The 13,071-nt window shown below is 59.3% G+C and overlaps 1 protein-coding gene across 29 annotated transcripts in view; it reads left to right on the top strand.

Moving 5' to 3' along the window:
• Positions 1-13,071, top strand: part of MINK1 (misshapen like kinase 1) — a 64,722-nt gene that overhangs the window by 50,457 nt on the left and 1,194 nt on the right. For 3 of the 29 annotated variants that reach the window (XM_006721531.2, XM_017024708.2, XM_017024707.3), the window contains exons 5-32: positions 567-677; positions 1,116-1,206; positions 1,687-1,817; positions 2,115-2,169; positions 2,324-2,402; positions 2,655-2,830; positions 3,314-3,383; positions 3,784-3,994; positions 5,851-5,967; positions 6,426-6,512; positions 6,721-6,939; positions 7,155-7,328; positions 7,660-7,920; positions 8,353-8,438; positions 8,606-8,716; positions 8,860-8,972; positions 9,183-9,271; positions 9,638-9,801; positions 10,192-10,297; positions 10,378-10,515; positions 10,729-10,837; positions 11,279-11,446; positions 11,554-11,697; positions 11,902-12,036; positions 12,207-12,307; positions 12,397-12,546; positions 12,633-12,792; positions 12,878-13,017. In XM_006721531.2, the coding sequence (XP_006721594.1) occupies positions 567-677; positions 1,116-1,206; positions 1,687-1,817; positions 2,115-2,169; positions 2,324-2,402; positions 2,655-2,830; positions 3,314-3,383; positions 3,784-3,994; positions 5,851-5,967; positions 6,426-6,512; positions 6,721-6,939; positions 7,155-7,328; positions 7,660-7,920; positions 8,353-8,438; positions 8,606-8,716; positions 8,860-8,972; positions 9,183-9,271; positions 9,638-9,801; positions 10,192-10,297; positions 10,378-10,515; positions 10,729-10,837; positions 11,279-11,446; positions 11,554-11,697; positions 11,902-12,036; positions 12,207-12,307; positions 12,397-12,546; positions 12,633-12,792; positions 12,878-13,017 (3,696 nt within the window). Of the gene's footprint in view, positions 1-566; positions 678-1,115; positions 1,207-1,686; positions 1,818-2,114; positions 2,170-2,323; positions 2,403-2,654; positions 2,831-3,313; positions 3,384-3,783; positions 3,995-5,850; positions 5,968-6,425; positions 6,513-6,720; positions 6,940-7,154; positions 7,329-7,659; positions 7,921-8,352; positions 8,439-8,605; positions 8,717-8,859; positions 8,973-9,182; positions 9,272-9,489; positions 9,514-9,637; positions 9,802-10,191; positions 10,298-10,377; positions 10,516-10,728; positions 10,838-11,278; positions 11,447-11,539; positions 11,699-11,901; positions 12,037-12,206; positions 12,308-12,396; positions 12,547-12,632; positions 12,793-12,877; positions 13,018-13,071 lie in introns of those variants that run through there. The other 26 variants (NM_001321236.2, NM_015716.5, XM_006721532.2 and 23 more) reach the window with 25 other exon arrangements.

A 13,071-nucleotide genomic window follows, 5' to 3' on the forward strand; every position in this document is an offset into this window, starting at 1 on the left:
CAAAATGCTGGGATTACAGGAGTGAGCCTCCGCGCCCAGCCATAAAGCAGTAGTTCTTAACCGCTGTAGGGTTTGGAATCCCAATGAGAATCTGATGAAAGTACTAGACCCTTCCTCAGGGAAAATGCATATACCTGCATCATTTTGTTTACAGTTTCAGGGATTCCTTGGACTCCTACTCTAAACCCAGCCCCACCCTGCCAGTTCTTTTCCATCTGTATTCCTTCTCCTCTTTTTTTTTTTTTTTTTTGAGACGGAGTCTTGCTCACCATGTTGGCCAGGCTGGTCTTGAACTCCTGACCTCAGGTGATCCGCCTGCCTCAGCCTCCCAAAGTGCTGGGATTACAGGCATGAGCCACCGCACCCAGCCTTTTTCCCTCTCTGTCTTGACTTGAGGAAATCCTGTGGCCTTTGTGAGGCTTCTGTGGCCCTTGCTCTCTAGCTCATACCAGTTCTAACCCCAAGGTCTCTTATCCTCCTCCAGGAGTCTAGCAGGGGATTGGGGCAGGGGTGGGAGGGCTTGTCTGACTGATACTTTTCCTTTCGGTACCTTCCTGGGATCCTAGCTGGTGATGGAGTTCTGTGGTGCTGGTTCAGTGACTGACCTGGTAAAGAACACAAAAGGCAACGCCCTGAAGGAGGACTGTATCGCCTATATCTGCAGGGAGATCCTCAGGGTGAGCTCAAGGCCCCTCCCCTTGTCTTCTCCTCCGCTACCCTGGCTGGAGTTTCTCCATGAGCAAAGATCCTCCCTGCGCTGGGAGGAGACATCACTGCCCTCTTTAGGGAGCAGCAGGCCTGATGCGGGTGGGATGTGGAAGCAGGGTCCACACCTTGGGAAGTCTCAGGCTGTTGGAGGAGACAAGCTCCTGTTTCCAAGCTCTGCCGCTTCTCCACCTGTAACCCTGCAACTGCTGGGAATTCACCTGGAGCCACCTCTCTGAGGAAGCTCTCCAGGACAGCTCAGCTTGCTTGGGCTCCTGGTGGAGAAGGTCTGCTCCTTCAGCCCAGCCCTGTCCAGACTGACTGCTCCTTGTCCCCTCAACTCACTCCCCACTTACTCTTTCCTACCCCATCCAACACCATGGCTAATTTTCCCTGCTCTCCTGTCCCAGGGTCTGGCCCATCTCCATGCCCACAAGGTGATCCATCGAGACATCAAGGGGCAGAATGTGCTGCTGACAGAGAATGCTGAGGTCAAGCTAGGTGCGCCGGCTCCTTCTGAGGCTGACGAGGACCTTTCACCTCCAGAACAGAGAATGAGGGGCCCCTTTTTCTCTCTGGTGGCTCAGGCCCAACTCCCTTCCTACTGGGGAGGCTCACTCCCTCCCCTTTCCCCTCTCCCCCTGGAATGCCCTGCCTCCTGCTGAAAATCCCTCAGGAAGCTCTTCACCTGTCACCTGTTACGGGCCAGGTGCTCTGCAGGTTGCTCTGGGGAGATGGGATCTGATGGCCCTCCTGCCTGGGATGCTGTCCGTGATCCTTTTACCTGGGTTTTTCTCTAAGATGCTGGAAGATGGAATCGGGTTCTTCAGGATGGTGGTGGGGTAAAGGAGGGTGCTGGGGTGTCTGGGTCGGGCCAGGACCACAGCTGGCTCAGGCAAGTCCTGTGTGTGCACGCAGGGATGTGAGGCAAGGGAGCAGAGGTGACTCCCCACACTGACCCCTCCCTCTGTGTCTTCACAGTGGATTTTGGGGTGAGTGCTCAGCTGGACCGCACCGTGGGCAGACGGAACACTTTCATTGGGACTCCCTACTGGATGGCTCCAGAGGTCATCGCCTGTGATGAGAACCCTGATGCCACCTATGATTACAGGGTATGGAGTGGAAAGTTGGGAGCATGGGGGCTGCCAAGGGCGGGAAGCAATATGGGGACCACGGGGCCTGAGCAGGCTGGGGAACAGAGGAAGGTCAGATGATGTTAGCAGTGAGGGGCTGGGGAACATCTTACGGCAAGGCAAGTGTGGGTGGGAAGATGGGATGGGTTGGAAGGCACTGCTGCAGGAATGGGTGTGGCCCAGGAAGGCTCCTGAGAGGCCAGGATGGTGGGTGAAGAGAGGTTGCAGGGCAGAGTTGTCAGGAATATTCACTTGTTCCTTCTTTCCCGTCTATAGAGTGATATTTGGTCTCTAGGAATCACAGCCATCGAGATGGCAGAGGGAGCCCCCCGTAAGTTCTGAGTCTGCCGGGAGTGGGAGGGGAGGGAAAGGAAGGGCCCAGAGAGTGGCTGTAGGGAGGAGGTGGGTCCTGGGACCCTGCCGAGGAAGGGTCCTGTAGCTCCCAGTGCAGTGAAAGGGACTGAGGGTGTCTCCTCTGTGTCCAGCTCTGTGTGACATGCACCCCATGCGAGCCCTCTTCCTCATTCCTCGGAACCCTCCGCCCAGGCTCAAGTCCAAGAAGTGGTAGGTCTCTGAGAGTGTGGGCTCTGGGAAGGAAGGTCCCTGGACAAGGCCATCCCCACCTTCATGCCCTCTGTGCTCAGGCTTGGATCTCACCAGAGAAGAGATTCTGGGGGGCAGAGGGCGGTGACTGGTGTTGGGATATGAAGACAGGAGGGACGTCAAGGTGGCTTGTGGATGAATGATCCACCCTCTTCCTCCTGCACCCATCCCTTCTGAGGGGACCCTCCCAGTGTGAGCCACCACTGTTTCCAGGTCTAAGAAGTTCATTGACTTCATTGACACATGTCTCATCAAGACTTACCTGAGCCGCCCACCCACGGAGCAGCTACTGAAGTTTCCCTTCATCCGGGACCAGCCCACGGAGCGGCAGGTCCGCATCCAGCTTAAGGACCACATTGACCGATCCCGGAAGAAGCGGGGTGAGAAAGGTCAGTGGGCAGGCTGGAGGGGGCAGGTACTAGGGGACACTCCAGCCTGGCTCCTCTCTGCCAGCCCTGCTCGCTCCTGGCACCCCTTCCTGCTCCCCTCCTTGGCCCCAGCTCTCCCTGTCCAAGGAGATCGTTCTCAAACTTGCAACCCCCAAGGGGTTTTCCCTCCTTTCCCTCCCAGTCTGAATCAGCCTTCCAAAGGAGGACCGGCCTTTCGCATCCTTACAAAAACTCCATGCTAAGCACATGTGTGTGCGAGCACAAGCACAGGCTCTGCCACACCTCAGCTGCCCTGGGACCCAGTCCCGGTCCTGTCCAGGCCCACACCTGAGACCCGCTGTCCTCCCATTGCCCCCAGGAAGTGGGTGGGGCCCCTCATGCTTGCCCAGCCAGAGAGACCTGGTTATCCCCACCCAAGGTTTCCCTAGCCCACGGCGGGTCTGGGGCGCTGGGTGAGATAACTGCAGTGGCCTCCCCCTGCAGAGGAGACAGAATATGAGTACAGCGGCAGCGAGGAGGAAGATGACAGCCATGGAGAGGAAGGAGAGCCAAGGTAGGCCTGGCAGGTGGAGTGGGGGTTGGGGCGGTCATCGCTGAGTGGGGGGACTACAGTGGTGCTTGGCTTTGGGGACTCTCAGCCTGGGGGTGGTGGGCACAGAGAGGTAGAGACTCCTGGAAACCAAATTTCTGAGTGCTAAGAAGTGGAACCAATGACTGAGCAAGAGCTGGGGAGAGAGCAATTTGTGGTGAATGTGGGGCGCAGCAGTAATAGGAAAGGAGGACAGGACTGAAGACTGGGCAGAAGGGGACGGTAAGTCTCCTGGCCACCTGGGAGTGGCCAGAGGCAGAGGCTTTGATCCAGTTAAAGCACCCACTCAGGCGGGCCCACGGGGTTGAGAGTGGGAACCAACAGGGTTCTGACCCCAGTGCTTCTTTGTGCCACCCCTGCCCAGCTCCATCATGAACGTGCCTGGAGAGTCGACTCTACGCCGGGAGTTTCTCCGGCTCCAGCAGGAAAATAAGAGCAACTCAGAGGCTTTAAAACAGCAGCAGCAGCTGCAGCAGCAGCAGCAGCGAGACCCCGAGGCACACATCAAACACCTGCTGCACCAGCGGCAGCGGCGCATAGAGGAGCAGAAGGAGGAGCGGCGCCGCGTGGAGGAGGTGGGCTGTCTCCGAAGGGCCCAGGCCTGGCGCGGCCTCCTCCTGACCTGCCCCGGGTCCATTAGGGCCTTGGAGAACAGGTTTTAAAATGCCTTAAATGAATGGCATTTCTGTTGAAACAATTATATGATTTCAAATTTCATGATGAGCTGGACTTAACACAAAATGTAATCCCATCACTTTGGGAGGCTGAGGTGGGTAGATCACCTGAGGTCAGGAGTTTGAGACCAGCCTGGCCAACATGGTGAAACCCCATCTCTACTAATAATACAAAAATTAGCCAGGTGTGGTGGCGCATGCCTGTAATCCCAGCTACTCCGGAGGCTGAGGCAGGAGAATTGCTTGAACCCGGGAGGCGGAGGTTGCAGTGAGCAGAGATCACACCACTGCACTCCAGCCTGGGTGACAGAGCAAGACTCCGTCTCTAATAATAATAAGCAATAACCCGCAGCACCCACACTGTCCACCTGCTACCTCCAAAGTAGGCCCTCTCATTGTTGAACAAAAAATAATTTGCAAGAAAACCTGCTACAGAAGAGCCTTGTGCAGTTTTGAAAATATAGGCCAGGTGAGGTGGCTCACGCCTGTAATCCCAGCACTTTGGGAGTCGGAGGATGGGGGCGGATCGTGAGATCAGGAGTTCGAGACCAGCCTGTCTAATATGGTGAAACCCCATCTCTACTAAAAATACACAAATTAGCCAGGCGTGGTGGTGCACGCGCCTATAGTTCCAGCTACTTAGGAGGCTGAGGCAGGAGAATCGCTTGAACCTGGGAGGTGGAAGTTGTAGTGAGCTGAGATCACGCCACTGGCCTGGGGAACAGAGCAAGACTCCGTCTCCAAAAAATAAAAAAATAAAATAAATATAGCGTTCAGATAGTATAGTAACAAAGTCCTATCTTTTTTTTTTTTTTTTTTTTGAGATGGAGTTTTGCTCTTGTTGCCCAGGGTGACGAGTGCAGTGGCGCACTCTAGGCTCACCGCAAAACCTCCGTCTCCCAGGTTCAAGTGATTCTCCTGCCTCAGCCTCCTGAGGAGCTGGGATTACAGGAATGCGCCACCACGCCCGGCTAATTTTGTATTTTTTTCAGTAGAGACAGGGTTTCTGCATGTTGGTCAGGCTGGTCTCGAACTCCCGACCTCAGGTGATCCACCTGCCTCGGCCTCCCAAAGTGCTGGGATTACAGGTGTGAGCCACCGCGCCCAGCCACAGAGTCCTATCTAACAAGGTGTTACCTGGAGAAGGCCTGCTGGCAACTTCATTGCAGAAGTAGGCACAAGTTCCCTCAAGTGTAAGGGTCCCTCAGGGTTTGTGCTTTTGTTGGTGGTGGTGGTGGTAGACTTCGTGAAAGCCACCACAGAAATACCGTGAAAGTAAAGTACCACCTGGGCACTGGTGCTTGTCAAGGAGTGGGCCAGGTCCCTCTTTTCTGTGCTTTCTGTGCACGGGCACCTGGTGCCCTCTTGTGGCCAAAGGCTATCACTACGACCCGCTCTATATGGACTTCAGGCAAAGGTCGATTTTAGGCTAGGAGTGCTGGGGAGGCTTGTTTTGAGTTCGGCTTTGGTTTGTTGTTTGGTGGGGTGTGGGGAGTGGAAGGTGTTGTCTAGCTAAGCCCACCCCACAGGCAGCAGTCAGTCTCACAGCCTCTCTCGTCACAGCTACCGGCTGTTTACCCGAGCCCAGCCCCGCGGGCCCTTGGGTGGGGATGGGTATAGTTGCAGAAACAAGCGGAAGCCGGTCTCTCTTACCACCCTCCGTGGTGAGCAAGGAGGGCTCCCCTCCCTGTCCATGGAGGGGCAGTGCTGACGCGATGTCCGGTATGGTTCTTAAGACCACCTGGCTCTCCCCACAGCAACAGCGGCGGGAGCGGGAGCAGCGGAAGCTGCAGGAGAAGGAGCAGCAGCGGCGGCTGGAGGACATGCAGGCTCTGCGGCGGGAGGAGGAGCGGCGGCAGGCGGAGCGCGAGCAGGTAGAGCGCCGCACCCGCATCCCTGCCCTCCCGCCCTCCCGCTCCTGCTGCCTGCCGCCCCTGCTCCCCGTGCCCTTCCCCCTTCTCTCCCCCACCCCCAGATTCCTCCTATCTTTTCTAGCTTCACTCTTTCTCTCTGTTTTCTCCCACCCTTCAACCCCAACCCTGACCCCCTCCCTCTTCCTTCCCTGCCTCATTCCCATCTCTTTACCCCATCCCTGACTCCCCGACCCCTTCCTCATCCCCCCTCATTCCCTGTGCCCTCTTCTTCCCCATCTGTGCCGCATGGCCCCCTGGGGCTCATGTCATCCCCTCCCCTACCTCTCTCTTACTCTTCCCCTGCACCCCCTCATTCTCCTGCGGATCCCTTCCTCCTTCTCCAACTCGCTGCTGCTGCCCTCCTCTGCCTCTTCCTCCTTCCCTGCCCTCTGCCCCCCACCCCACACCCCGTCCCCCAGGAATATATTCGTCACAGGCTAGAGGAGGAGCAGCGACAGCTCGAGATCCTTCAGCAACAGCTGCTCCAGGAACAGGCCCTGCTGCTGGTAACGGGTCCCTCAGCGTCCTCTGGGAAGATGCTTTTCAGAGCTTCTTTGCTGGAACGGGATGGGAACACTTCAAGGGAAGGGATTCACCCAGGACATCAAGGGAATACATCTCCTCTCTAGGCAGTTGGAGAAAAGAGAGGGCATGCCTGCTCTAACTCCCAGGGCCACACCCTGCTGAGCCCTCTCTCCCTACCCTTGGGCCCAGGAATACAAGCGGAAGCAGCTGGAGGAGCAGCGGCAGTCAGAACGTCTCCAGAGGCAGCTGCAGCAGGAGCATGCCTACCTCAAGTCCCTGCAGCAGCAGCAACAGCAGCAGCAGCTTCAGAAACAGCAGCAGCAGCAGCTCCTGCCTGGGGACAGGAAGCCCCTGTACCATTATGGTCGGGGCATGAATCCCGCTGACAAACCAGCCTGGGCCCGAGAGGTACTCACTGCCTCCTTTGCCTCCTGAGACTGCAGTCCCACTGCCTGAGGCCTGGAGAGCCACAAGAAGTAGTAGTTCACAGTAGCAGGCACCAAGTAGGGGAAAGGAGCACACAGCACAGAGCATAGGGCGGGAGTAGTTAGGGCAGGTGGGACCCTCAGTTTTGAGAACAGGGAGGCAAGAGCTGGCCTGCTTGACATCCCTTCACATCACAGGTAGAAGAGAGAACAAGGATGAACAAGCAGCAGAACTCTCCCTTGGCCAAGAGCAAGCCAGGCAGCACGGGGCCTGAGCCCCCCATCCCCCAGGCCTCCCCAGGGCCCCCAGGACCCCTTTCCCAGACTCCTCCTATGCAGAGGCCGGTGGAGCCCCAGGAGGGACCGCACAAGGTGAGTCTCTCCCCACCCCTGTCTTAATGAAGACACAGGGAGCTTTGTTCAGAGCACAGGTACACACACACGCGCGCACACACACACACACACACACACACCTGCTCAGCCGTGAGCCAGGATTACAGAGCACAGGCTTTGTGGACAGACTCACTCACCTGCTTCTTGCTGCCTGTGTCTGTCCTGACTTAGCTGTCATCAGGCTCAAGGAACCCCTTGTCCTTCAATGGAGGAAGGGGCAGCTAAAGTCCTTTCCCACCCCAGACCCCAATTCGCAGGTGGGGATGTGCCATGGAGCAGGCAGCCCACCCTCCCTGGTCTCTCCCTGCAGAGCCTGGTGGCACACCGGGTCCCACTGAAGCCATATGCAGCACCTGTACCCCGATCCCAGTCCCTGCAGGACCAGCCCACCCGAAACCTGGCTGCCTTCCCAGCCTCCCATGACCCCGACCCTGCCATCCCCGCACCCACTGCCACGCCCAGTGCCCGAGGAGCTGTCATCCGCCAGAATTCAGACCCCACCTCTGAAGGACCTGGCCCCAGCCCGAATCCCCCAGCCTGGGTCCGCCCAGATAACGAGGCCCCACCCAAGGTAAGGACAGTTCTGCAGGCCCAGGGAAAAGCAGAGAGCTAGTCATGAAGAGAAGGAGGGCAGTGAAGGGGCAGGCCACATGGAGGAAGAGTGCAGGGCGGGAAGCGAGAGAAAGCCAGGGCGCTGCCCTGCCGGGGTCAGCCGTCCAGCTGAGGACGCGACGTGGAGGGGTGGCATCGATCCCTGTGGGGAGCGTGGGAACGGAGAAACGCCCAGGGTGTTTTGGGAGCGCTAAGGGGCAGACTTTGCCAGTTAGAACCGCAGCTCCACCATCATCCGGCTTCATAACCCTGGACGTATTCACTAACTCCCCTGAACCTCAGTTTTCTCATCCATCAAAGTGGGGGAGCTCACCTCTCAGAGGTGAGGCTTAAACATCTGAGAAGTGCCTGTCGCAGCGCCAGCTCGCAGCACGTGGACTTCTCTCCACAGGTGCCTCAGAGGACCTCATCTATCGCCACTGCCCTTAACACCAGTGGGGCCGGAGGGTCCCGGCCAGCCCAGGCAGTCCGTGCCAGGTAATGCCTGGGTAGGGCAACGCCTGGGTGAGGTCTGAGGGCAGCCTAGGGAGTAGGGGGGGCACAGGGACTTTACCAGCCTACCCGCCTGGGGGTGGGAAAGCCCCAGCCCCATCACCTCAGCGCCCCCCCGCCGCCCCCTCGGCACCCCTGTGCTCCCTTCACAGACCTCGCAGCAACTCCGCCTGGCAAATCTATCTGCAAAGGCGGGCAGAGCGGGGCACCCCAAAGCCTCCAGGGCCCCCTGCTCAGCCCCCTGGCCCGCCCAACGCCTCTAGGTAATAGAGTTGTCCCCCAACTCACTCTCACCTCTCACTTCTGCCACCCGCTTCCCTGGTGATGGCTCCCTCTGCAGTGCAGCTCAGCACCCCAGAGAAGGGAGCACCGTGCCTCCCTGACCCTGACTCTGCCCCCCCAACAGTAACCCCGACCTCAGGAGGAGCGACCCTGGCTGGGAACGCTCGGACAGCGTCCTTCCAGCCTCTCACGGGCACCTCCCCCAGGCTGGCTCACTGGAGCGGAACCGCGTGGGAGGTATGTGAGCCAGGGCTGGGCAGCCTGCTCTGGGCCTGGGGGCTTATCACCATGGACCCTGCCTTTGGTGGCTTTGGACTGGGGCACCCACACGGACAGGGAGGACCTGTGTGGGTATGGAACTTGGGGCTGAGTTCTGGGGCTCAGGGTGTGGGCTTGAGGCCATCCCTTGTTCAGGCATCAGTGACCTTCTTCCACCCTGCCGTCCAGTCTCCTCCAAACCGGACAGCTCCCCTGTGCTCTCCCCTGGGAATAAAGCCAAGCCCGACGACCACCGCTCACGGCCAGGCCGGCCCGCAGTGAGTCACCTGGTGGCAGGCATGGCCTGCCTCATCCTGGTTTGGGGCTTAGCCTCAGGGTGCTGGGTGTCAGGGGTGGGGTCTCCGCTGATCTACCGAGAAGGGCTGTGGGGATGGAGGGACTGGTGCTTCTCATGGTGCTAACCTTTCCTAACCTCTCTCCTAACCTCTCTCCTAACCTCTCTTCTGGCTCTTTCTTCCCCTGCGGCCCCTCCCAGAGCTATAAGCGAGCAATTGGTGAGGTTAGTGAGATGGGCCTGCTTGTGGGAGCCCCTCCTGTCGCCCTGCTGGGGTGTCCCGGCACCCTTTGTCTACCTCCACCCAGGCCCAGCTTCTCCCTGCCCCTCACGTGGCTCCTCCCTGCAGGACTTTGTGTTGCTGAAAGAGCGGACTCTGGACGAGGCCCCTCGGCCTCCCAAGAAGGCCATGGACTACTCGTCGTCCAGCGAGGAGGTGGAAAGCAGTGAGGACGACGAGGAGGAAGGCGAAGGCGGGCCAGCAGAGGGGAGCAGAGATACCCCTGGGGGCCGGTACGGCATCGGGAGTGGGGCCCTCCCACTCCAAGGCACAGGGAGGGAGGGGAAGTGGCAGTGGGGAAGAGGTGGGGCTTTGGGGCAAGTCTGAGGGAGAGCGGCTCCCTTCTCTAGAGAGTGGGGTGAGGGTGCAGGTTCCTGTCTCTCTCCCGCTGCCCTGTGTGTTGTGGGGTGGCCTCTTCAAGTGCCTGTCTGCCCCTGTGCCAGCCTGCCCTGTGTGCCATGCAGGGAAGCACCTCACGGTGGAGCAGGGGCTACACCGTGAGGGTGGAGCAGGTTGTGTTTTGAATAGAGACAAAAGCCTGGGCTCTGGCTGCCATCTGCTGCCTTTGGCACTTCTGTGGCCACGGGCAGGACCTGGAGGGGCCCCACCTTCCTCTCTCACAGCAGCGATGGGGATACAGACAGCGTCAGCACCATGGTGGTCCACGACGTCGAGGAGATCACCGGGACCCAGCCCCCATACGGGGGCGGCACCATGGTGGTCCAGCGCGTGAGTGAGCCTCTGCTCCCTCCCCTGTACCTGTGTGTGCCCTCCTCAGCCCCACGCCAACCCTGCCCTCTGTCCTGTAGACCCCTGAAGAGGAGCGGAACCTGCTGCATGCTGACAGCAATGGGTACACAAACCTGCCTGACGTGGTCCAGCCCAGCCACTCACCCACCGAGAACAGCAAAGGCCAAAGCCCACCCTCGAAGGATGGGAGTGGTGACGTAAGTGGGCCGGAGGCAGGTCCGCCGGGAGAGAAGAGCCCTGGCGATGGGCAGGAGGTCCCGGTGCTGGGTAACGGCAGAGGATGGGGCGGAGCGCTGGGAGCTGGACAGCGGGGGTGCCAGTTGGGGAGCTGGAGCCTGGGGAACAGCAGCAGGGGCAGGGCCGCAGCTGGACTTGCACTTGTTTGCCTGACTGCTGTCCCCCTACCACAGTACCAGTCTCGTGGGCTGGTAAAGGCCCCTGGCAAGAGCTCGTTCACGATGTTTGTGGATCTAGGGATCTACCAGCCTGGAGGCAGTGGGGACAGCATCCCCATCACAGGTGAGGACAGGAGGACAGACCTGCTGTGAGGCCAGGGTCCAGGGGCAGCCTGGAGGGGAGCACAGTGGTCTTGAGACGCAGCCTCACAAAGCATAGCCACAGGACCTCTCCCTTGGGCCCTAGCACCTGCCTGGGCACAGAGGCAAGGAAGAGCCTCTGAGACCCCTCCTTCCTGTCCCACAGGACAGGAAATGCTCAGAGTTGCCAGGGGACCTGGGCAAAGACTCAAAGCTAACAAGTGACAGAAATGGGACTTGAGCCAGACCTTTTGACTCCAAGTCCAGCACTCTATCCCCCTCTCCCATGCACCTCCTCTCCTCCTGTCTTTCTCCTCCTTTCTGCGTATTATGAGGTGCCAAGACCTGATATAGGGGATGGAGGTAAAAAGAGATGGGGTGAGAAGCTGCAGCCCCTCCTCCCACCTCCTCCTCCTTCTGGCAGCCCTAGTGGGTGGAGAGGGCACTCGGCTCGACCAGCTGCAGTACGACGTGAGGAAGGGTTCTGTGGTCAACGTGAATCCCACCAACACCCGGGCCCACAGTGAGACCCCTGAGATCCGGAAGTACAAGAAGCGATTCAACTCCGAGATCCTCTGTGCAGCCCTTTGGGGTAAGCCAGGGCAGGGACAGCTGAGGAGGCTCTGGCGTGGCTCTTGTGCTCCTGGTTAGGTGAGGGCCTGGCTGAGCCTCTGACCTGCCCAAGGGCTCCTGTTGCAGGGGTCAACCTGCTGGTGGGCACGGAGAACGGGCTGATGTTGCTGGACCGAAGTGGGCAGGGCAAGGTGTATGGACTCATTGGGCGGCGACGCTTCCAGCAGATGGATGTGCTGGAGGGGCTCAACCTGCTCATCACCATCTCAGGTACAGGTGTGGTGAGTGGGGGAGGGAGGAGGGGCTCAGCTCCTTGGCGCTGTCACCATCTTCTGCCTGGGAGGAGGGCAGGCACTGGAAGGTGGGGCCACACTTTCTCACCCCTTGTGGTATGCTGACAGAGGAGGCCAGGGCGGTGGCATTCGGGCCTCAGATGAGAATGGGGGCGGGTGTGTATGTCTGTCCGTCCCTCAGGGAAAAGGAACAAACTGCGGGTGTATTACCTGTCCTGGCTCCGGAACAAGATTCTGCACAATGACCCAGAAGTGGAGAAGAAGCAGGGCTGGACCACCGTGGGGGACATGGAGGGCTGCGGGCACTACCGTGTTGGTGAGGATGTCCCAACAGAGTGGCCAGCGCATACTTGTTCATGAAGAGAGAAATGGATCTGGGAGCCAGGGACTTGGGGCCTGGGTGGGGCAGTGTAGTGACAGACCACGGGGAGGCGCCCGTGGCGCAAGAAGGGAAGTCTCAGCATCCCTCTTCTCTCCCGCCCCCAGTGAAATACGAGCGGATTAAGTTCCTGGTCATCGCCCTCAAGAGCTCCGTGGAGGTGTATGCCTGGGCCCCCAAACCCTACCACAAATTCATGGCCTTCAAGGTAATCCCAGCCTCGGTCCCTAACACCATCTGGAGTCCCAGCGCCTCTCCCCGTGCCCCTGAGCCCTCCTCTCCTCCGGTTCTCTGCAGTCCTTTGCCGACCTCCCCCACCGCCCTCTGCTGGTCGACCTGACAGTAGAGGAGGGGCAGCGGCTCAAGGTCATCTATGGCTCCAGTGCTGGCTTCCATGCTGTGGATGTCGACTCGGGGAACAGCTATGACATCTACATCCCTGTGCACGTGAGCTTGGCGGGGCTGCTGGGGGAGTGGGATGGCCCAGTCTGGGCACCAGACACGGAGACTCTAGTCCCCCTCCTTCTCCCCAGATCCAGAGCCAGATCACGCCCCATGCCATCATCTTCCTCCCCAACACCGACGGCATGGAGATGCTGCTGTGCTACGAGGACGAGGGTGTCTACGTCAACACGTACGGGCGCATCATTAAGGATGTGGTGCTGCAGTGGGGGGAGATGCCTACTTCTGTGGGTGAGTGAGCTGCCGCCCTCCCAGCCACATGCCCCGAGGTGGCCCCGGGGTGCAGCCTGCTCAGCCCCTCACCTGTTCCCCACAGCCTACATCTGCTCCAACCAGATAATGGGCTGGGGTGAGAAAGCCATTGAGATCCGCTCTGTGGAGACGGGCCACCTCGACGGGGTCTTCATGCACAAACGAGCTCAGAGGCTCAAGTTCCTGTGTGAGCGGAATGACAAGGTGGGAGGCTCCTTCCCTCTGAAAGCCCTGCTGTCCCGGCTGCCATGACCCTAG

Source organism: Homo sapiens, chromosome 17 (assembly GCF_000001405.40).
Source record: "Homo sapiens chromosome 17, GRCh38.p14 Primary Assembly".
NCBI lineage: Eukaryota > Metazoa > Chordata > Mammalia > Primates > Hominidae > Homo > Homo sapiens.